Source organism: Homo sapiens, chromosome 19 (assembly GCF_000001405.40).
Source record: "Homo sapiens chromosome 19, GRCh38.p14 Primary Assembly".
Classification (NCBI taxonomy): Eukaryota; Metazoa; Chordata; class Mammalia; order Primates; family Hominidae; genus Homo; species Homo sapiens.
In genome coordinates, this window is record NC_000019.10 from 23,996,473 (window position 1) to 24,020,730 (window position 24,258).

Sequence of the window (24,258 nt, forward strand, 5' to 3'; positions counted from 1 at the left end):
CTCTTGGTTTGTCACACCAAGGCTGGATTGTGACAAAAATAAATCAAAAGGTCACTGTGCAGGAAGGAACATAAAGAAACAGAGAAAGAAAATAACAAAGAAGAAAAACAACAGCAAGTCACTCTAAATATTGTGGAAACAAACTGAAATTGAGGTTAGAAAAACAACACAGGAAGGTCCAAGTAGTCCCAGGTACTTGGGAAGCCGGAGATGGGAAGACCACCTGAGGGAGACTGGGGAGATTGAGGATCCAGTGAATCACGATTGCATCCCTCTCCTGGACATAAATGGTACTGCCACTAGTGAGATCCGTCTGGTCAACCTTAGGCGTGGGAAGGCGAGAGCCATCTGATCGACCTTAGACCTGGCAAGCTGGCGGCTAATTCCAATGCTTGCAGCCAACTTGTGTCTCAAAATAAATTTTTAAAACCACCAGTAAATATAGAACAATAACAAATAATAACAATATTAAAGACCAATACATAAATAAGCGGGCGTGAACAATAATGAAAGATAATATCACAATTAAGATCTCTCTCTCTCCTCCGTTTGTCACACTCAGGCTGGAGTGTGACCAAAAATAAATGAAAACGTCAACGTCAGCATGCAAGAAGGAGCATAGGAGAAGAGAGAGAGAAAAGAACAACGAAGAAAAACAAAAGCAAATCACGCTAAATATTGTGGAAACAAACTGAAATTGGGGTTAGAAAAACAACACAGGAAGAAAGTTCATGTATTCTCAGGTACTTGGGTGGCCCAATTGGAAAGATCACCCAGGTGCGACCAGGGAGATTGAGGCCGCAGTGAATCACAATCACATCTTTCTGCTGGACCTGAATGATACTGCCGCCAGCCAGAGCCATCTGGACGGCCTTAGACGTGGGAAGGCGAGAACCATCCGTTCGACTTCAGACATAGCAAGGCGATAGCCATCTGGTCGACCTTAGACATGGGAAGGTGAGAGCCATCTGGTCGACCTTAGATATTGGAAGGTGAGAGCCATCTGGTTGACCTTAGGCATGGCAAGCTGTGGACTCATTCCAATGCTTCTGGCTGAGATGGGAAGATCACCTGGATGAGACTGGGAAGATCGAGGCTGCAGTGAATCACAATCCCATCTCTCTGTTGGACTTGAACAGCACTGCCGCCGGTGCGAGCCATCTGGTCGACCTTAGACATGAAAAAGCAAGAGCCATTTGTCATGTCTCCACCTCAGACATTACAAGGTGAGAGCCATCTTGTCAACCTTAGACATGGCAAGGCGAAAGCCCTCTGGTCGACCTCAGCCATGGCAAGAGGAGAGCCATCTAGTCGACTTCAGACATGGCAAGGCAAGAGCCATGTGGTCAACCTCAGACATGAAAAGGCAAGAGCCATCTGGTCGACCTGAGACATGACAAGGTGAAAGCCATCTGGTCGATCTCAGATATGGAAAAGTGAGAGCCATCTGGTCGACCTTAGACATACCGAAGCAAATGCCCTGTGGTAGACTGTAGACATGGCAAAGCGAGAACTGTCTGGGCAATTTCAGACATGGCCAGGCTAGAGCCTTCTTGTGGACCACAGACATGGCAAGAGGAGAACTGTCTGGTCGACCTGAGACATGAAAAGATGAAAGCCATCTGGTCGAACTCAGACATGGCAGAGTGGCATCTGGTTGACCTCAGACACAGCAAAGCAAGAGTGATCTTGTCGACCTCAAACATGGCATGGTGAGAGCCATCTTGGCCACCTTAGACACGGCAAGGTGAGAGCCATCATGTCAACCTCAAACATGGGAACACAAAAGCCATTTGGCTGACCTTAGACATGGCAAGGCAAGAGCCATCTGGTCGACCTAAGACAGGGCAGGGCGAGGGCCATCTGGCCCACCTCAGAAATGGCAAGGTGAGAGCCATCTGGACATGTGACATGGCAAGGCAAGAACTATCTCGTTGACCTCAGACATGGCAAGGCAAGAGCCATCAGGAAGCCCTCAAACATGGCAAGGTGAAAGCCATCTCATCGTCCTTAGGGATGGCATGGTGAGAGCTATCTTGTCCACTCACACATGGCAAGGTGAGAGCCATCTTGTTGACCTCACACGTGGCAAGGTGAGAGCCATCTGGTTGACCTTAGACATGGCAAGGCGAAAGTCATCTGGTCCACCTTAGACAGGGAAGGGTGAGAACCATCTTGTCCACCTAGACATGGCAAGGCAAGAGCCATCTGGTCGACTTCAATCATGGAAGCTGAGGGCCATCTGGTCAACCCCAAAAATAGGAAGGCAAGTCCAGCTAGTCAATCTTAGAAATTGCAAGGTGAGAGTTATCTGGTGGAACTTAGACATGGCAAGCTGGTGGCTATTTCAGTGCTTGAGGCTGACATCTGTATCAAAATAAATTTAAAAATCAACTATATATATAATATCAAACAATATTAAAACCCAAATAAGGTGGGAGTGAACAATAATAAAAGGTAATTAATATCACAATTAAGAACTCCTCTCTCTGTGTGTGTCTTTCTCTCTCTCTCTTTTTGTTTGTGACACCAAACGGAAGGGTGAAGTGTGACAAAAAATAAAACATGACATGGGAAGGTGAGCACCATCTAATCTACCTTACATATGGCAAAGTGAGAGCCATGTGGTGGACCTCAGATATGGCAAGGTGAGAGCCATCTGGCCGAACTTAGTCATGGCAAGCTGGTGGCTAAATCCAAGGCTTGTGGCTGACAACTGTATCAAAAAAAAAAACCAAAAGTAAGTATATCACAATATCAAACAAATAACAACAATCTTAAAGATGAAATAATTAAGCTGAAGTTAACAATAATAAAAGGTATTTAATACCACAATTGAGAACTCCTATCTCTCTCTCTCTCACTGTGTGTGTGTGTGTGTCTGTTTGTCACAACCAGTGTGAACTGTGACAAAAAATAAACCAAAGGTCAACTTCAGTGTGTAGGAAGGAGCATACAAGAATAGAGAGAGAAAAGAACAATGAAAAATTACAGCAAGTTACTCTAAGTATCGTGGAAACAAACTGAAATTGTGGTTAGAAAAAATACAGAGGAATAAGTTCCCAGTAGTCCCAGGTACTTGTGAGGCCGAGATGGGAAGACCCTTGTTTAAAAGACTGTTGTATAAAACTAACCTGTCTCATGACGTTCTAAACCAAGCTCAGGTTCCCTGCTATTGGGTGAACCATCCAACGCTTGGTGAATTCTGTTTCACAATAGGAAGATCCAACACCAAAGGATCAAAAAGCGATGTCGCTATGAACTCTTGGCCACTGCAAGGCAGTTATCCCTTGTCCACCTCAGACATGGCAAAGCAAGAGCCGTCTGGTCGACTTCAATCATAGCAGCTGAGGGCCATCTGGTCAACCATCTGGTATCTTCTCTGACACGTCTTGCTTAAAACCCAACCAAAACGTCAAAAGGATCATGAGGCCCTGCTTTCCCGGTCTGTATTCATACTGAAAATCAAGATCAAGCAACTTCTGCCCTTCTGCTCCACAGGAGGTTTTGGTACTCCCTGCACTCACCTTCAGACACCTGCATTACTGTTTGACAGGTGTACCGCACCAGTCCGACTCTGCACTTGGCACTATTCCAGGACCAGTTAACATCCAGCCAGCATGTGGCCAGGTGCTTGGCGCCAAAAGTGAGCCCCTTTTGGCTTTCCTCCCCAGCCCCAACTTCACCAGGTCAGTGAAAAAATGATCAGGGTAGTGGAATTTCACCGGCAGCCCACAAGGCCAGTGGACCTCACCCCATCTCCTCAGAGAAACAGAGGGGTGCTGGGGCCTTTCACTTATTCTACACCTCTCATGTCTCTTCACCATACCAGACTAGAGTCAGTCTCAACAGAGTCTTTGTTCCCTGCTGATTCTGTCAAGCCCATTCCTTTGGCTGTGGTTTCACTGGATAGCAGGTAGGAACAGTGGGAATCTTGTCCATCCATTCATATGAGTCACTAATTAGATGATGAGGCATTTGGCTACACTTAAGAGAGACATATTTACTCCTGCCATTTACTCGTGCTTCATTGAATTTCTTCATTTTGACATTCAGAGCACTGGGTAGAATTCACGTTGTGTCAACACCCACCATAGGCCTTCACCATGCTTTGTTTTAAAAAGTCAGATTCCCCTGGTCTGCATCAGTTCTAAGAAGGCTGCTAGGAAGTGGCAATAGCAAGGTGGGCAGGGATAGGGAAGAGGAAGGTATGGCAAGGTGGGTGGAGGATGTCTGCAGAGGGGTGCCGCTAGCGTTGAGGGGTGGAGTACAGCACCTCATCCAGCCACTGCCTGCACCCAGCCCCATTTCAAGCCCCAGCCAGACTGGCAAAGCCCTTAGAGCAAATTCTTACCCTGAACTTACTGATCCAGCTTGCTGATTTCCCTTACCTACATTGTTCTAACATGCCAGAGGCTGTTTACCTTGGAGACCTGCTGTGGATATGGTTACAGCCTGGTGTGAGATTTACACCCTCTCCCCCAGATTTTCAAGGGCCTGTGAGAGCTCACCAGGTGCCTCCTGATCTATGATTCTTTCCAAGGCACAGACCTCTCTCTAAGGGTGAATCCACTACAGGGTGCCCTGCTCTTCACAAAAAGAACTCTCCCCTGGGCTCCCACCAGCTTCTCCAGGATCACTTCCATTACCTCCCTGAATGCCTCATGGTGCCCATCTCTGCCACTCCGGATTCAGAAATCTGAACTTGACTCCGTTTCCATTGGCTGAGGGCAATGGAAGTCATCATCCATCCCTTCGGAATGGCACTCTCCTATCTCTGGGGACCGAGTGACCCATCTTCAACTGGAACCCTTCTCCACTTCGGCCTTCAAAGTTCTCATTTGAATATTTGCTACTACCACCAAGATCTGCACCTGGGACAGCTCCACCCAGGCTCATGCCCAAGGCTTCAAGGCTCATTGCAGCGGTCCTCCCACTCATAGCAGCATAGCATCCTCGGGGCTCCAGCGGGAGCGACCACCCTCACCACTCCCATCCACTCTCAACTGCTGGCAATGGCCGGGTATGGGCCCAATGTTTCAGTACCATCCATTTTTCAGGGCGAGTTGATTCTTTGTTGTTAAACACTCCTTAGTGGATTCTGACTTCCATGCCCACCGTCCTGCTGTCTATATCAACCAACACATTTTCTGGGGTCTAATGGGCATCAGCATCAGGCACCCTAACATGGCATTTGGTTCATCCCACAGCAGCAGTTCTGCTTACCAAAAGTTGCCCGCTAGGCACTCGCATTTCATACCTGGCCCCATGCCATCGAGCTGGGCTTCTAACCCATTTAAAGTTTGAGAATTGGTTGAGATCATTTTGACTCCAAGACCCCTAATCATTCGCTTTACCAAATAACTGCGTGGCATGGGGTTTTTGCGAGAGCGCCCGTTATCCTTAGGAAAACTTCAGAGGGAACCAGCTACTAGATGGTTGGATTAGTCTTTTGCCCCTATACCCAGATCAGATGACCGATTTGCACGTCAGGACCACTACAGACCCCCACCAGAGTTTCCTCTCGCTTCGCCCTGCCCAGGCATAGTTTATCATCTTTTGGTGCCTAACACAAGCGCTCATTCTCCACCTGCCCAGCACAGTGGGCGAGAGTGGACGGTGGTGCTCCCTTGGCAAACTGGAGAGGCCTCAGGATCCCGCCTCAGCCAGCCAGCGCATCAGCCTTCACCTTCATTGCGCCACAGTGGCTTTCGTGCGAGCCCCTGACTCGCACACGTGTTAGACCCTTTGGACCATGTTTCAAGATGGGTCATGTGGGTAGCCAACAGCGCCACCGGCCTCGTGCACTTCTTCCACTGTTCTTTTGAAATGAGTGCATGGCCGAAGAGTCCCCCCAGACCCGACAGCACAACCAGCCTGGGGCACACCACAGTCAGCCCCTGCCCCTCACATGCGGCCTACTCGCTGGGGGCAGGGAAGGGGTGGTAGAGTAGTTACACCGTGGGAGGGGTGGCCCAGCCCCCTAGAGGGACGCTGTCATGCCCCCACGGGGGATCCCCTCATGGGGGGCTCCCACTGGGGTGGGAGCAGGGAAGGGGAGAGCAGGGCAACAGGTCTCACTACCTCAGTCCCGGGATTCTGCGAGTGCTACTGCTGAGGGACTGTAACACTCGGGGTGTGGCCCAGCTCACCCCCCTCCAGAGGGATGGGGAGGACATGACCCCCCGAGCCACCTTCCCTGCCGGGCCTTTCCAGCCGTCCCAGAGCCAGTCACGGCGCAGCACCACAGTGGAAATGCATCTGGCGGTGGCCAGTCGCCGTCTGGAGGACAGTCCCCAAGGACTCCCCCGCCTGCCCAACCCACCCACCTCCGCACCTGCTGGGGCCCGCCACCTCCAAGGAGGAGGAGGGGTGGCCGAGGAGGGAGGGCGGTTGGAGGGGTCGGGAGGAACGGGAGGCAGGAAAGATCCGCCAGACCACTGGCACAGCCCGACCCGCCGCCTGTTTGAATCTTCCATCAGACTGCATGGATCCCACACATTTAAGTCTTAACGGTTTCACGCCCTCTTGAACTGCGTCTTCAAAGTTCTTTTCAACTTTCCCTTACAGTACTTGTTGACTATTGTCTCTTGAGCCAGTATTTAACCTTAGATAGAGTTTGCCACCAGCTTGAGGTTGCATTCCCAAGCAACCCGACTCTGGAAAGACCCAGGCGTGGCAGCCAGGGGCTGCTAATGGCCTCACACCGTCCACAGGCTGGCTGGGCCTCAATCAGAAGGACTTGGGCCCCCACAAGTGGCGTTGGGGAGTGAGTCTTCCATACGCCACATTTCCCGCACCCTACCAAGGGGCAGGGATTTGGCACTGGGATCACTGTTCACCTAACTTTACTAAGGGCATCCTGGTTAGTTCCATTTTCTCCGCTGACTAATATGCTTAAATTCAGCAGGTTGCCACCTCTAGCCTGAGGTCGCGTCTTGGAATAAAGGAAGAGACGGGCGGGCATGGAGGATGCGAGCCTGGACACTCGGTTGGGAGACAGGCCCAGTGAGGGAGGGGGGCGGGGGTGACAGAGAAGAGCTGCGGCTGACGGCGTCCCTGCCGCACCAGAGCCGGATGACGGGAGGGAGAAGCAAGAACTAGGGGCAGGGAATACACAGTACCCTCACCGTCCAGAGGACTGCGACTGAGGATGTGCTTCCACCCCCCCCCAATGCGGAAGCTCAAGGGGGCCACACGGGCGGCACAGCCATGAACCAGAGGCAAGCACACAATGGCGGATGCTGCCATGGTGTCCCATGAGTCACCACCAGGGCACCGCCAGCACGCAGCTTGGCCTTGACCCCGACCGGGGGGGTCACGCAGGGCAGACTTCTGGCCCCAGAAGTGCACAGCAGGCTGGGTGGGAGAGGAGGAGGGTGCAGGGAGGAGCAGCATTTGGCCGGACACCAGGCTGCCACCGGGGCGGGCGGTAAACTGTGGTGGGCGGTGAACTGTGGCGACCGGGATGAAATCTTGCTTTCCACCCCCCCAACCTTCCCCACCCCCCACCCGCCAATGTAGGACAGCACAGGACATTTTGCCCAGGCCCAGGCGAACCCTGGACCGCTTGCAGCACGAGGGAGCTCTCTAGGGGAACCCGGACTGTGGCAGCCACAGGAACTCGGCCCCAGCCGGCTCTTTTCCTTCCTCTCACAGGCAGTGGGATCCCTCCTAACCAAGGCTCCTTCCCCCACCACGTGGTCCCTCACAGGGTTTGCATGGATGAATGGGAGGTGGGAGGAAGGTGCTAATGGAAAAGGAGGGGGGCACCACAAGGCCTGTACTTGGGAGGACAGAGGGGCCAACGAGCCCTGCAAGGGAACCGCCAGCCATGCACCCCTGGGAGGCCAGAAGCACCCCTTGGGATGATTGCTCAGCAAGTGATGACTCAGACAGGTGTAGCCCTGGGAGGAACACGGAGTCACAAGTGCATTTGAAATGATGATCAGTGTGTCCTGCAACTCACATTAATTCTCACAGCTGGCTGCATTCTTCATCAATGCAGGAGTGGAGTGATCCACCGCTAAGAGTTTCACAAAGTTCTTTGGTGAGGGACTCCCAACACCGGGAGGCCCTCCTGGCACAGCACATCCCCGAAGGGATTGCCTCAGGTCAGCCAATGAGACAGCACTGAGACAGAACTCTCAGAGGGGTTGGAAGGTTTCACCACAGGGGCATGCACACCACCCCCACAGGGGTGAGCACAGACACCCAACAGTTGCCAGGGGGTTCCCACCCCTGACAACGCAGAGCCCAACATGGGCAGCACACACAATGGCACGATGGCCACCAGGTAAGCCCCCACTCAGCAGCTGCAACCATGGCAATGACAGGAGAAAAACAAACAACTCCATTAAAAAGTGAGCAAAAAACATAGACACTTCTTAAAAGAAGGCATGCATGTGCTCAACAAGCATACGAATAAAAGCTCAACATCACTGATCATTAGAGAAATGAAAAAAACACAATGAGATACCATCTCATACCAGTCAGAATGGATATAATTAAAGGGTGAAAAAATAAATTCTGGTGAGGTTGTGGAGAAAAGGGAAGACTTATACCCTGTTGGTGGGAGTGTAAATTAGTTCAGCCATTGTGAAAAGCAGTTAGGTGATTTTTCAAGGAGCTAAAAGCAGAACTACCATTTGATAGCTCTGCTAGCCATCCCATTACTGCATATATATCCAGAGAAATGTAAATTATTTTACCATAGAGACCCATGCATTCAAATGTTCATTCCAGCACTATACAATAGCAAGATATGGTCAACCTAAATGCCATCAATGACAGACTGGATAAAGAAAATGTTGTATATATACACCATTTCCTCTCATAATAGTGATTTGATCCAAATAAGGAGTCAAAGTCCATGAATGAGTATGTGGAATGAAAAGCCACTCTACAAGATCTTGCTCTTGAACAATAACACCAGTAGGTGAATGCTGAGTTGGAAAAATTAGCAAATCTAGAGTCTTCTCTGGATCTATTCTATTTATTTGAGCCTTATGGACTTGCTTTTTGATTAGCTGTAACTCGACCTCAGCCTCCTTTGTTAATTGCTGAGGGCAAGTGAGACTAGGACCTCCTCTAAGGATGGAAAATAGATTACTCATGGCATAGGTAGGAATGTCTAGAGCAAGTCGTATCCAATTAATGTCCCTAGTAATTTTTGAAAGTCATTAAATGTTTTCAGTTGATCCCTATGTATGGTTACTTTCTGTGGCACAATGGTAGTGTCATTTACTAAGGTCCCCAAGTAAGAGTAAAGATTAGTAGTCTGAATTTTGTCAGGAGCTATAATTAAACCAGCATGAGAAATTGAATTTTGCAAGTAATCATAACATTGGAATAATATTTCTTGAGTGGGGGCACCACAAAATATATCATCCATCTGATGAATAATGTAACACTGAAAGTTTTTTACCAGTAGGTTCAATTGCTTGCCCTACATAAGTCTGGCAAATTGTTGAACTGTTTAACATGCCTTGTGGCAACACTTTCCAGTGAAAATGCCTAGCAGGCTGCAGGTTGTTTACAACAGGAATCATGAATGCAAACCATTCACAGTCTTGCTCAGCTAAGGGGATAGAAAAGAAAGTCTTTTAAATCTATGATTATTAAAGGCCAATTTTTCCAAATCATAGCAGGAGAAGGCAATCCTGGCTGCAATTCCCCCATAGGTTGTATAACTGAATTAATGGCTCTTAAGTCAATTAACATTCTCCATTTACCTGATTTTTTCTTAATTACGAAAACTGGAGAATTCCAAGGGGAAAATGTTGGAGCTGTGTGTCCTTTTTCTAATTGTTCAGTAATTAAGTCTTCTAAAGTCTCCAGTTTCTCTTTACTCAGCGGCCATTGTTCTATCCAAATTGGCTTATCTGTTAACCATTTTAAAGGCATAGGTTTTGGAGGCTTAACAATGGCCACCATCAAAAATGATATCCTAAACCTTGGAGGGAACTTTTCTTCCTGCTTGAAGCAGTTCCTTCAAACCTTGCAAAATTCTTCTAGTCCCACACCAGGGACATACCCTATTTCATGCATCATATGCTGACTTTGAGGGCTATATAATTGTTCTGGAATTAGAACTTGTGCTCCCCATTGTTGTAATAAATCTCTCCCCCACAAATTTATAGGTACAGAAGTTATAATTGGTTGAATAGTCCCAGATTGTCCATCGGGCCCTTCACTATGTAAAATATAGCTACTTTGATATACCTCAAGGGCTTTACCAAGTCCAACTATGTTAAATTGAGTGGGTTGAATTGGCCATGTGGACGGCCAGTGCTTTAGAGAAATGATTGAAATGTCTTCTCCTGTATCTGCCAAACCTTTACACTTCTTTCCCTGAATAGTTATTTCACAGGTAGGATGTTTATCAGTAATTTGATTCACCCAATAAGCTGCTTTGCCTTGTTTATTTGTGCTTCCAAATCCTCCTGTTCATTTAATTTCACTTTTCCCCATTTCCACATATGGCACAATCAGGAGCTGTGTTATGTGCTCTCCTGGCTCTGCTTTCCAGGGAACAGAAGTAGATATAACAATTTGAATTTCTCCATTGTAATCTGAATCAATGACTCCTGTATGTATTTGCACTCCTTTTAAATTGAAACTAGACCTACCTAGAAGCAATCCTATCCTCCCCACTGTCAAGGGTCCACAGACTCCTGTTGGGAACTTTTGCAAGGGTTCCCCAGGCAGAAGGCTCACAGCTTTTGTGCAGCATAAATCTACTGCAGCACTATTGGCTGTGGCAGGGGACAGACAAAAATTAGTTGGGCACACACGTATAGTCCCAGCTACTCGGGAGGCTGAGGCAGGAGAATGGCATGAACCCAGGAGGCGGAGCTTGCAGTGAGTGGAGATTGTGCCACTGCACTCCAGCCTGGGTGACAGAGCGAGACTCTGTCTCAAAAAAAAAAAAAAAAAAAAAAAAAAACCTAGGAACAAGTATAAGTAAAAATTCTTTCTGATGTGATCTTTATATGATAAACCTACACATGTACCCTTGAACCAAAGATAAGAGTTAATATGAAATAACTCCATGGCTGGAGGAGAATGAAATGTAGGTGGAAAGACCGGTTTGTGCTACAGATAGTGACCCAAATGGGACTGTACTCTGATTTACTTCTGTGTCCATGTAGGCAGATGAGATTATGAACAAGTTACCTAGAAACCTAATCTGGTGGAGAAGATGGGTTGCTGCTGCAGATCCAGTGCTTGGAGGTGGGGATATGCCGGGACAATTGTAGACACTTTTGTGTAGTGTATAGTGTTTTCTGTTAAGAAACGCTAGAATTAAAAACGCTGTGGTGAAGTTTCTGAGGGTGGTGCCTAGTCCTGAGAGAGGTGTGGGCACATCAATGTGTAGTGGGTATGTTTGTGAGTGGGTGAGAATCCTGTGGTGGCAGCTGTGGGAAAAGGGGGTCTGTCATCAGAGCACGTTTAAGTTTTTAGTCCTCTCTTACTCTGGGAGAAGACTTGAAATCACAGGACAATGGGCAGTGTGACTGCCTGTGTACTAGAGAGTGGAGACTTTCATTCCCAGACACCCAGTTTTATTCCCGGCCAGGCCTCCATGGTATCTTTTTTTCTGGCATCAAATTTGTAGTTTGCTGAATGCCAAGCACTTCTACACCAACTCATTGTCTAACATTTGAATTCTGATACCACCCAGAGTCAGCACACACCCTGATTCAGGGCTCAGTCCCACAACATTGTCCTTAGTGCAGTTGCCAGTCACAAACCCCATGGGCCCAGCTATGCCTCTGAGCTACTGTTTAAAAATTCAGGACTTCCTAGCCAGGCTTGGTGGTGTGCACCTGTAATCCCAGCTATTAGGGAGGCTGAGGCAGGAGAATCGCTTGAACTCGGGAGGTAGAAGTTTCAGTGAGCCAAGATTGTGCCACTGCATTGCAGCCTGGGTGACAGAGCAAGACTGTCCCAAAAAACAAACAAACAAACAAACAAACAAACAAAAACTAAAAAAAAATCAGGACTCCTATAAACGATCTAAAGTTCAATAATTTGATAGAGCTACCCACAGAACTCAGCAAAACACTGTAGTTATGTTGACCAGTTTATTATAAAAGATACAATCCAGGAAAAGTCAAATGAAAAATATGTGCAGGGCAAAGAAAAGAGGTGGCAAAAGATGAAGCACATAGAAAATCCTGGTAAATAGCTGTGATTAATAAAATAAAATTCTCCATCTATTATGTGCTCCAGGAACCATTTATGAAAAGAAACATCCTTCCCATTATGACTTAGATGCTCTTTTTTTCACCTATCACATAGTCAGACATAGACTCTGCACATTTCCTTCTTGTTCTCATTTAAAAATCAGCTGAATTTTTCTTCAGTGGTAAAAATAAAATACTTCTAAATAAAATTTCACTTAAGTCAGGCTGGGTGCAGTGGCTAACGCCTCTAATCCAGGCACTCTGGGAGGCTGAGGCAGGTGGATCACCTGAGGTCAGGAGTTCAAGAGCAGCCTGGCCAACATGGCAAACCCCATCTCTACTGAAAATACAAAAATTAGCTGGGTGTGGTGGCACATGCCTGTAATCCCAGCTACCTGAGAGGCTGAGGCAGGAGAATTGCTTGAGCCTGAGAGATGGAGGTTGCAGTGAGCCAAGATCACATGACCGCACTCCTGCCTGGGTCACAGAGTGAGACTCCCTCCCCACAAAACAAACAAACAAACAGACAAACAAAAAAACTTCACTTAAGTCTATCACCTTCCTACAGGCTCCTGAACTTTGAGCTATCCTCTGCCTAAACCAACATACAACTCCATTTTAGGTCTCTCCTAAGAACGTACGACTTGAGGGTAAAACATTCTCTGAACCAGAATCTGACTTTTTCACTCTCCATTTGCCATTCCCCTCCCACCTTCTTTCTAATCTTGTTTGCTTCTCCCTATAAAAGAAAGCACTTTTCTGCCTAAACTTTGCAATCTTTAAAGCTTTAAGGATTATAGTTGGTACTTCCTCCTGTTGCAATACTCTTTTGGAACTTAATTTTTTTTTACATAAATCTAACTTTGTTTTATTTTACAAAGTCTGGCAACTGTCTCAAAACAAGAACAAACTTATCTTCAGTAAGACCCTCCCAGTCCCCTTCTATCGTAACCTTAACAGCATCTGCCTATGGCTCCCCAGCTTTCCAGGGCTCTGTAGCTTCTCTCACTATAAAGTTTTCTTCTATGGCTGGGGTGAGCAGGCTGGGACACCTGCAGGGGAGGCTCCCCAGAAAAAACTAACTGGGCCTATAATAAACTCATTTTGCAGGCTCAGTATTAGCCTTAACTTGGAGTCACTGTGATCAGGCTTAATTTCCACATCAGTTACTTTCCTTTTTTTGTTTTTGTTTTTTTTTGTTGTTGTTGTTGTTTGTTTGTTTGTTTTTTAAGAAAGAGTTTGGCTCTTGTTGCCCAGGCTGGAGTGCAATGACACAGTCTCAGCTCACTGCAACCTCCGCCTCCTGGGTTCAAGCGATTCTCCTCCTGCAGCACCTCCCAATTAGCTGGAATTTCAGGTGCCTGCCACCACACCCAGCTAATTTTTGTATTTTTAGTAGAGACAGGATTTCACCATGTTGGTCAGGCTGGTCTCAAACTCCTGACCTCAGGTAATCCGCCTGCCTCGGCCTCTCAAAGTGTTGGGATTATTGGCATGAGCCACTGTGCCCAGCCACTCACTTGGATTTTGAAAGTAAGTGTTTCAAAAATCCAGCAAAATTACTCAAACACAATGTTCACGTAAAAAAAAGGAAATTTTAAGGTGCTTGTATTTCATACCTCAACAAGGAAAGCAAAATTATCCATTCCCTTCAGACAATAAATGTATTATTGTACTATTTTCATGAAAAATCATGTAGCAAACAATTAGTAATATAAAAACACTTCTAGGAGTTACCAAGTATTTGTTTGTTTGTTTTTGGAGATGGAGTCTTGCTCTGTCACCCAGGTTGGAGTGCAGTGGCACAAACCCAGCTCACTACAACCTCCACCTCCTCAGTTCAAGCAATTCTCCTGCCTCAGCCTCCCAAGTAGCTGGCACTACAGACACATGCTGCAATGCCCGGCTAATTTTTTTGTATTTTAGTAGAGATGGGGTTTCACCATGTTGCCCAGGCTGGTCTTGAACTCCTGAGCTCGGGCAATCTGCCCGTGTCAGCCTCCACAGGTGCTAGGATCACAGTTGTGAGCCACCGCGCCTGGCCTGAAGTTTTATCTCACAAAATTTAGAATAAAACTCAGAAATAAAAATCACAGGATACAGAACAAAAATATTCACATCATGAATTTACCCTGTAAAAAGAGAAACTGATGTTTTAATGAATCGATGTGACTCACTAGTTATCTACCACATTTTCTTGTGGAAACCTATTTATTTCCTGCAGCCAAAATAGAAGGAAGATTTCCCTTATTTTTACCCTTGGTAGCTAGTATTCTAATAGCTATTCCTTGGAATTCTTTTGGAAATCACTTAGCCATAAAAAATACACCTGACAAAATTTCTAAACTCACCCTGGGAAAGAAAAAGGTAAATGAGAATTTTTAGGCCGGGCACCATGGCTCATACCTGCAATCCCAGCAATCTGGCAAGTTGAGGCAAATGGATCACCTGAGGTCAGGAGTTTGGGACCAGCCTGGCCCACATGGCAAAACCCCATCTCTACCAAAAATTAAAAAATTAGCCAGGTGAGGCCAGGTGCCGTGGCTCACACCTGTAATCCCAGCACTTTAGGAGGTGGGGGTGGGCAGATCACCTGAGGTCAGGAGTTCAAGACCAGCCTGGCCAACATGGTGAAACCCCATCTCTACTAAAAATACGAAAATTAGCTGGGCATGGTGATGGGTACCTGTAATCCCAGCTACTCAGGGGGCTGAAACAGGAGAATCGCTTGATCCTGGGAGGTAGAGATTACAGTGAGCCGAGATCACCCCACTGCACTCCAGCTTGGGTGACACAGCGAGACTTCATCTCAAAAAAAAAAAAAAAAAAAAAAAATTAGGCCGGGCGCGGTGGCTCACGCCTGTAATTCCAGCACTTCGGGAAGTTGACGGATGGATCACCTGAGGTCAGGAGACCAGCCTGGCCCACATGTCTAAACCCTGTCTCCACTAAAAAAACACACAAATTAGCCGGCGTGGTGGTAGATGCCTGTAATCCCAGCTACTCCAGAGGCCGAGGCAGGAGAATCGCTTGAACTCGGGAGGCGGAGTTTCCCGTGAGCCAGATCACGCCCCGGCACTCCAGCCTGGGAAACAGAGTAAGACTCCATCTCTAAAAAAGAAAAAAAAAGGGAGAAAGAGAAAGAAATAGGTAAATGAGAATTTTTTTTTTTTTTTTTTGAGACGGAGTCTCGCTCTGTCGCCCAGGCTGGAGTGCAGTGGCGGGATCTCGGCTCACTGCAAGCTCCGCCTCCCGGGTTCACGCCATTCTCCTGCCTCAGCCTCCCAAGTAGCTGGGACTACAGGCGCCCGCCACTACGCCTGGCTAATTTTTTGTATTTTTAGTAGAGACGGGGTTTCACCATTTTAGCCGGGATGGTCTCGATCTCCTGACCTCGTGATCTGCCCGCCTCGGCCTCCCAAAGTGCTGGGATTACAGGCGTGAGCCACCGCGCCCGGCCATAAATGAGAATTTTTAACCAAAGAAATATACTATTAGATTCTTTTGAAACTCACCTGCTTTAGGCCCTTGTAAATACTTTACGTTTCAAGCTCTACTAATAATATGCAATTTATAGTTAAAAAACTGATGTTAATATAAGTGAACAAATCTTTTCAAGGTGACAAACCCAGGGAGTGGCAGTGCTGGTTAGAAAACAGATGTGTCTCACTCATGAGTCAAGTCAGGCCATCCAATCACTTGAGAGATTCTCCCACCCCAACTTGCTCACTGAAGTGCTCAATGACCACCCTCTCAGGAGACACTGCACTATGCCCCAGTGAGTTCCCGAAGTACGTTTTACTTCGCAAATTCTTGCACAATCTCACTGGGGTCATGTTTTTATTTTTTGTTTTTAGGGATACTATTTTTTTCACAAAACTTAAAGAATCCAGGGTGCAGAAATTACGTCTGTTTTCCCCTCAATACCAGCATCAGATTGGCTGACCAGCAATGAATCTTCAAGAAATGCAAGCTGAGTTGAGTGAAGACAATCTTTTTTTTTTTTTTTTTTTTTTTTTTTTGAGATGGAGTTTTCCCTCTTGTCACCCAGGCTGGAGTGCAGTAGCACAATCTCAGCTCGCTGCAACCTCAGCCTCCCAGGTTCAAGGAATTCTCTGGCATCAGCCTCCCAAGTAGCTGGGATTACAAATGTGCACCACCACACCCAGCTAATTTTTGTATTTTTAGTAGAGACGGGGTTTCACCACATTGACCAGGCTGGTCTCAAACTCCTGACCTCAGGTGATCCGCCCACTTCAGCCTCCCAAAGTGCTGGGATTACAGGCATGAGCAACTGCACCCGGCCCGAGTGAAGACAATCTTAAGTGTCTCAGGGGGTTAGCTTTTCAAAGGAAGAGTACACCAGGAGATTCCTTTCAGCTCCAAGCATTCCGCTGACTGCTCCCTTGAGAGGCTACACCCTGTATCTCAGGTTGTCGTATGGGAGAAAATGACTCAGGAGCTGGTATTCACTAGACACTCTAGCAGACATAGTCATGGCAGGTATATTGGTTTATTCACAGACAGTAGTGAAACCTGGGGTGCCTGAGAACACATCACCCAATAAAGCTCCCCCCCAAAAAACTTTGACCTCAAAACATTCTTATAAGATCCCCAAAACATTCTTATAAGGTCCCTGTGCCTAGGGAAGATGAAAGAAAAAGAGGCACAGAGATTTTTCTTTTCTTTTTTCTTTTATTTTATTTTATTTTTAATTTTATTATTATTATACTTTAAGTTTTAGGGTACATGTACACAACGTGCAGATTTGTTACAAATGTATACCTTTGCCATGTTGGTGTGCTGCACCCATTAACTCATCATTTAGCATTAGGTATATCTCCTAATGCTATCCCTTCCCCCTCCCCCCACCCCACAACAGTCCCTGGTGTGTGATGTTCCCCTTCCTGTGTCCATGTGTTCTCATTGTTCAATTCCCACCTATGAGTGAGAACATGTGGTGTTTGGTTTTTTGTCCTTGTGATAGTTTGCTGAGAATGATGGTTTTCAGCTTCATCCATGTCCCTACAAAGGACATGAACTCATCATTTTTTATGGCTGCATAGTATTCCATGGTGTATATGTGCCACATTTTCTTACTCCAGTCTATCATTGTTGGACATTTGGGTTGGTTCCAAGTCTTTGCTATTGTGAATAATGCCACAATAAACATACGTGTGCATGTGTCTTTATAGTAGCATGATTTATAATCCTTTGGGTGTATACCCAGTAATGGGATGGCTGGGTCAAATGGTATTTCTAGTTCTAGATCCCTGAGGAATTGCCACACTGACTTCCACAATGGTTGAACTAGTTTACAGTCCCACCAACAGTGTAAAAGTGTTCCTATTTCTCCACATCCTCTCCAGCACCTGTTGTTTCCTGACTTTTTAATGATTGCCATTCTAACTGGTGTGAGATGGTATCTCACTGTGGTTTTGATTTGCATTTCTCTGATAGCCAGTGATGATGAGCATTTTTTCATGTGTCTTTTGGCTGGATAAATGTCTTCATTTGAGAAGTGTCTGTTCATATGCTTTGCCCACTTTGTGATGGGGTTGTTTGTTTCTTTCCTGTAAATTTGTTTGCGTTCATTGTAGATTCTGGATATTAGCCCTTTGTCAGATGAGTAGATCGCAAAAATTTTCTCCCATTCTGTAGGTTGCCTGTTCACTCTGATGGTAGTTTCTTTTGCTGTGCAGAAGCTCTTTAGTTTAATTAGATCCCATTTGTCAATTTTGGCTTTTGTTGCCATTGCTTTTGGTGTTTTAGACATGAAGTCCTTGCCCATGCCTATGTCCTGAATGGTATTGCCTTTATTTTCTTCTAGGGTTTTTATGGTTTTAGGTCTAACGTTTAAGTTTTTAATCCATGTTGAATTGATTTTTGTATAAGGTGTAAGGAAGGGATCCAGTTTCAGCTTTCTACATATGGCTAGCCAGTTTTCCCAGCACCATTTATTAAATAGGGAATCCTTTCCCCATTGCTTGTTTTTGACAGGTTTGTCAAAGATCAGATAGTTATGGATATGCGGCATTATTTCTGAGGGCTCTGTTCTGTTCAATCGGTCTGTATCCTGTTTTGGTACTAGTACCATGCTGTTTTGGTTACTGTAGCCTTGTAGTATAGTTTGAAGTCAGGTAACGTGATTCCTCCAGCTGTGTTCTTTTGGCTTAGGATTGACTTGGCAATGAGGGCTCTTTTTTGGTTCCATATGAACTTTAAAGTAGTTTTTTCCAATTCTGTGAAGAAAGTTATTGGTAGCTTGATGAGGATGGCATTGAGTCTATAAATTACCTTTGGCAGTATGGCCATTTTCACAATATTGATTCTTCCTACCCATGAGCATGGAATGTTCTTCCATTTCTTTGTATCCTCTTTTATTTCATTGAGCAGTGGTTTGTAGTTCTCCTTGAAGAGGTGCTTCACATCCCTTGTAAGTTGGATTCCTAGGTATTTTATTCTCTTTGAAGCAATTATGAATGGGAGTTCACTCATGATTTGGCTCTCTGTCTGTTATTGGTGTATAAGAATGCTTGTGATTTTTGCATATTGATTTTGTATCCTGAGACTTTGCTGAAGTTGCTTATCAGCTTAAGGAGATTTTGGGCTGAGACAATGGGGTTTTCTAGATATACAATCATGTCATCTGCAAACAGAGACAATTTGACTTCCTCTTTTCCTAATTGAATACTCTTTATTTCCTTCTCCTGCCTGATTGCCCTGGCCAGAACTTCCAACACTATGTTGAATAGGGGTGTTGAGAGAGTGCATCCCTGTCTTGTGCCAGTTTTCAAAGGGAATGCTTCCAGTTTTTGCCCGTTCAGTATGATATTGGCTTTGGGTTTGTCATAGATAGCTCTCATTATTTTGAGATATGTCCCATCAATACCTAATTTATTGAGAGTTTTTAGCATGAAGTGTTGTTGAATTTTGTCAAAGGCCTTTTCTGCATCTATTGAGATAATCATGTGGTTTTTGTCTTTGGTTCTGTTTATATGCTGGATTATGTTTATTGATTTTCATATGTTGAACCAGCCTTGCATCCCAAAGATGAAGCCCACTTGATCATGGTGGATAAGCTTTTTGATGTGCTGCTGAATTTGGTTTGCCAGCATTTTATTGAGGATTTTTGCATCAATGTTCATGAAGGATATGGGTCTAAAATTCTCTTTTTTTGTTGCGTCTCTGCCAGGCTTTGGTATCAGGATGGGGCTGGCCTCATAAAATGAGTTAGGGAGGATTCCCTCTTTTTCTATTGATTGGAATAGTTTCAGAAGGAATGGTACCAGCTCCTTCTCGAACCTCTGGTAGAATTCGGCTGTGGATCCATCTGGTCCTGGACTTTTTTTGGCTGGTAAGCTATTGATTATTACCTCAATTTCAGAGCCTGTTATTGGTCTATTCAGAGATTCAACTTCTTCCTGGTTTAGTCTTGGGAGGATGTATGTGTCGAGGAATTTATCCATTTCTTCTAGATTTTCTAGTTTATTTGTGTAGAGGTGTTTATAGTATTCTCTGATGGTAGTTAGTATTTCTATGGGATTAGTGGATATCCCCTTTACCACTTTTTATTGCGTCTATTTGATTCTTCTCTCTTTTCTTCTTTATTAGTCTTGCTAGTGGTCTATCAGTTTTGTTGATCTTTTCAGAAAACCAGCTCCTGGATTCACTGATTTTTTGAAGGGTTTTTTGTGTCTCTATTTCCTTCAGTTCTGCTCTGATCTTAGTTATTTCTTGCTTTCTGCTAGCTTTTGAATGTGTTTGCTCTTGCTTCTCTAGTTCTTTTAATTATGTTGTGAGGGTGTCAATTTTAGATCTTTCTTGCTTTCTCTTGTGAGCATTTAGTGCTATAAATTTCCCTCTACACACTGCTTTGAAGGTGTCCCGGAGATTCTGATATGTTGTGTCTTTGTTCTCATTGGTTTCAAAGAACATCTTTATTTCTGCCTTCATTTCGTTATTTACTGAGTAGTAATTCAGGAGCAGTTTGTTCAGTTTCCATGTAGTTGAGTGGTTTTGAGTAAGTTTCTTACTCCTGAGTTCTAGTTTGATTGCACTTGGTCTGAGAGACAGTTTGTTATAATTTCTGTTCTTTTACATTTGCTGAAGCGTGCTTTACTTCCAACTATGTGGTCAATTTTGGAATAGGTGTGATGTGGTGCTGAAAAGAATGTATATTCTGTTGATTTGTGGTGGAGAGTTCTGTAGATGTCTATTAGGTCCACTTGGTGCAGAGCTGAGTTCAATTCCTGGATATCCTTGTTAACTTTCTGTCTCATTGATCTGTCTAATGTTGACAGTGGGGTGTTAAAATCTCCCATTATTATTGTGTGGGAGTCTAAGTCTCTTTGTAGATCACTCAGGACTTGCTTTATGAATCTGGGTGCTCCTGTATTGGGTGCATAGATATTTAGGGCAGTTAGCTCTTCTTGTTGAATTGATCCCTTTGCCATTATGTAATGGCCTTCTTTGTCTCTTTTGATCTTTGTTGGTTTAAAGTCTGTTTTATCAGAGACTAGGATTGCAACCCCTGCCTTTTTTTGTTTTCCATTTGCTTGGTAGATCTTCCTCCATCCCTTTATTTTGAGCCTATGTGTGTCTCTGCACGTGAGATAGGTTTTCTGAATACAGCACACTGATGGGTCTTGACTCTTTATCCAATTTGCCAGTCTATGTCTTTTAATTGGAGCATTTAGTCCATTTACATTTAGGGTTAATATTGTTGTGTGTGAATTTGATCCTGTCATTATGATGTTAGCTGGTTATTTTGCTCATTAGTTGATGTAGTTTCTTCCTAGCCTTGATGGTCTTTACAATTTGGCATGTTTTTGCAGTGGCTGGTACCAGTTTTCCCTTTCCATGTTTAGTGCTTCCTTCAGGAACCCTTTTAGAGCAGGCCTGGTGGCGACAAAATCTCTCAGCATTTGCTTGTCTGTAAAGTGTTTTATTTCTCCTTCACTTATGAAGCTTAGTTTGGCTGGATATGAAATTTTGGGTTGAAAATTCTTTTCTTTAAGAATGTTGAATATTGGCCACCACTCTCTTCTGGCTTGTAGAGTTTCTGCCGAAAGATCAGCTGTTAGTCTGATGGGCTTCCCTTTGTGGGTAACCTGAGCTTTCTCTCTGGCTGCCCTTAAAATTTTTTCCTTCATTTCAACTTTCTGGAGGAGTATCTTTGTGGCGTTCTCTGTATTTCCTGAATTTGAATGTTGGCCTGCCTTGCTTGATTGGGGAAGTTCTCCTGGATAATATCCTGCAGAGTGTTTTCCAACTTGGTTCCATTCTCCCCGTCACTTTCAGGTACACCAATCAGATGTAGATTTGGTCTTTTCACATAGTCCCATATTTCTTGGAGGCTTTGTTTTTTTCTTTTTATTCTTTTGTCTCTAAACTTCTCTTCTCACTTCATTTCATTCATTTCATCTTGCATCACTGATATCCTTTCTTCCAGTTGATTGCATTGGCTACTGAGGCTTCTGCATTCATCATGTAGTTCTCATGCCTTGGTTTTCAGCTCCATCACATCCTTTAAGGACTTCTCTGCATTGGTTATTCTAGTTAGCCATTTGCCTAATTATTTTTTCAAGGTTTTTAACTTCTTTGCCATTCGTTCGGACTTCCACCTTTAGCTCAGAGTAGTTTGATCGTCTGAAGCCTTCTTCTCTCAACTCATCAAAGTCATTCTCTGTCCAGCTTCGTTCCATTGCTGGTGAGGAGTTGTGTTCCTTTTGAGGAGGAGAGGTGCTCTGATTTTTAGAGTTTCCAGTTTTTCTGCTCTGATTTTTCCCCATCTTTGTGGTTTTGTCTACCTTTGGTCTTTGATGATGGTGAGGTACAGATGGGTTTTTGGTGTGGATGTCCTTTCTGTTTGTTAGTTTTCCTTCTAACAGTCAGGACCCTCAGCTGCAGGTCCATTGGAGTTTGCTGGAGGTCCACTCCAGACCCTGTTTGCCTGGGTATCAGCAGCGGTGGCTGCAGAGCAGCGGATATTGGTGAACTGCAAATGCTGCTGCCTGATCAATCCTCTGGAAGTTTTGTCTCAGAGGAGTATCGGCTGTGTGAGGTGTCAATCCGCCCCTACTGGGGGGTGCCTCCCAGTAGGCTACTCGGGGGTCAGGGACCCACTTGAGGAGGCAGTCTGCCCGTTCTCAGATCTCAAGCTGCCTGCTGGGAGAACCACTACTGTCTTCAAAGCTGTCAGACAGGGACAATTAAGTCTGCAGAGGTTACTGCTGTCTTTTGTTTGTCTGTGCCCTGCCCCCAGAGGTGGAGCCTACAGAGGCAGGCAGGCCTCCTTGAGCTGTGGTGGGCTCCACCCAGTTTGAGCTTCCTGGCTGCTTTGTTTACCTACTCACGCCTCGGCAATGGCAGGCTCCTCTCCCCCAGCCTCGCAGCCACCTTGCAGTTTGATCTCAGACTGCTGTGCTAGCAATGAGTGAGATTCCGTGGGCGTAGGACCCTCTGAGCCATGTGTGGGATATAATCTCCTGGTGTGCCGTTTGTTAAGACCATTGGAAAAGCACAATATTAGGGTGGGAGTGACCCGATTTTCCAGGTGCCATCTGTCATCCCTTTCTTTGACTAGGAAAGGGAATTCCCTGACCCCTTGCACTTCCCAGGTGAGGCGATGACTTGCCCTGCTTCAGCTCACGCACGGTGCACCGCACCCACTGTCCTGCACCTACTGTCCGGCACTCCCCAGTGAGATGAACCCGGTACCTCAGTTAGAAATGCAGAAATCACCCGTCTTCTGTGTCACTCACACTGGGAGCTGTAGACTGGAGCTGTTCCTATTTGACCATCTTGGCTCCGGGACCTTTTTTTTTTTACAATACAGTATCAGGGTATTATGCTTTGGTTTATTCTCACAGGAGATATTTACAAACAGAAACAAATCTCTTTAAATGTGCTATACAATGCTTTGTCAAAAAAGGATTAATTAAAATATGGTATCAAAAATGTACACTAAAGGACAAATAGTTAATAATGTGAATTAGGGAGAGGAAGTTGACATTTGGAATTTTCAGAAGAAGCTGTTAATTGAGTATATTATTGCAAGCCAGAGTTAGGCTGGAGGAATGGGGAGAAAGGGGTAGACTTGAGAAGCTGCTTGGGACACCTGTGGAAAATGCAGGAAAATATCAGTCCCCTGTGGAGTCTGAAAATATTTAAGTGGCAGGCAATTCCACTGAGGTAGCTCTAATCCTTGAATTCCTACTTTTAAAAAGTCTAACTGAAATCCTTTTTTTGGTAAATTACTACCTCAAGGGAAAAAAAAATTTAGGCTTAACCAACTGCAAACTGTCAATTAAGCTCTGACTACATAACCAGGAAATTTTTACACTCAAGGTAAAAAGTAAGAAACTATGTAACTGTAACTAACAGATTATTGAGTTTAAGTTTTTGCATCATGCACCTTAAAAAAAGTCTTTCTGGCTGGGTGTGGTGGCTTACTCCTGTAATCCCAGCACCTTGGGAGGCCAAGGTGGGTGGATCTCTTGAGGTCAGGAAAAAAAAAATCTTTCCTTCACGCTCCTCCCATTGACCACAAACTACAATATTTGAACAACACTTTCATTTAATTATTTAATATTTTTGCAGTGACTCCCATAAATTTTTCTTTTTACTCTTTGAGACGGAGTCTTGCTCTGTCACTCAGGCTGGAGTGCAGTGGCACGATCTTGGCTCACTGAAAACTTTGCCTCCCAGGTTCAAGCCATTCTCCTGCCTCAGCCTCCAGAGTAGCTGGGATTACAGGTGCCCACAACCACATCTGGCTAATTTTTTTATTTTTGGTAGAGACGGGCTTTTACCATGTTGGCCAGGGTGGTCTCAAACTCCTGGTCTCAAATGATCTGCCTGCTTTGGCCTCCCAAAGTGCTGGGATTACAGGCATAAGCCACTGCGCCTGGCAGACGCCAGTAATTTTTATTTTATTTTTTTCTGAGTCGGAGCCTTGTTCTGTCACCTAGGCTGGAGTGCAGTGGCAGGATCTTGGTTTGCTGCAACCTTCACCTTCTGGGTTAAAGTGATTCTCCTGCCTCAGTCTCCTGAGTAGCTGGGA

The 24,258-nt window shown here is 45.3% G+C and overlaps 2 pseudogenes, besides 4 other annotated features; both read right to left on the reverse strand.

The window, feature by feature from the left end:
• Positions 2,722-6,934, reverse strand: LOC110467531 (RNA, 28S ribosomal pseudogene; annotated as a pseudogene).
• Positions 4,755-5,049: a silencer, noted in NCBI's record as "tiled region #11764; HepG2 Repressive DNase matched - State 24:Quies". NCBI's record gives its function as "represses a minimal TATA promoter and a strong SV40 promoter by Sharpr-MPRA in HepG2 cells {active_cell/tissue: HepG2}" and the evidence as "EXISTENCE:reporter gene assay evidence [ECO:0000049][PMID:27701403]".
• Positions 4,755-5,349: a biological region, named in NCBI's record as "Sharpr-MPRA regulatory regions 11764 and 11751".
• Positions 5,055-5,349: a silencer, noted in NCBI's record as "tiled region #11751; HepG2 Repressive DNase matched - State 24:Quies, and K562 Repressive DNase unmatched - State 23:Low". NCBI's record gives its function as "represses a minimal TATA promoter and a strong SV40 promoter by Sharpr-MPRA in HepG2 and K562 cells {active_cell/tissue: HepG2 | K562}" and the evidence as "EXISTENCE:reporter gene assay evidence [ECO:0000049][PMID:27701403]".
• Positions 6,115-6,409: a silencer, noted in NCBI's record as "tiled region #3900; K562 Repressive non-DNase unmatched - State 23:Low". NCBI's record gives its function as "represses a minimal TATA promoter and a strong SV40 promoter by Sharpr-MPRA in K562 cells {active_cell/tissue: K562}" and the evidence as "EXISTENCE:reporter gene assay evidence [ECO:0000049][PMID:27701403]".
• On the reverse strand, positions 7,886-8,035 carry RNA5-8SP4 (RNA, 5.8S ribosomal pseudogene 4; annotated as a pseudogene).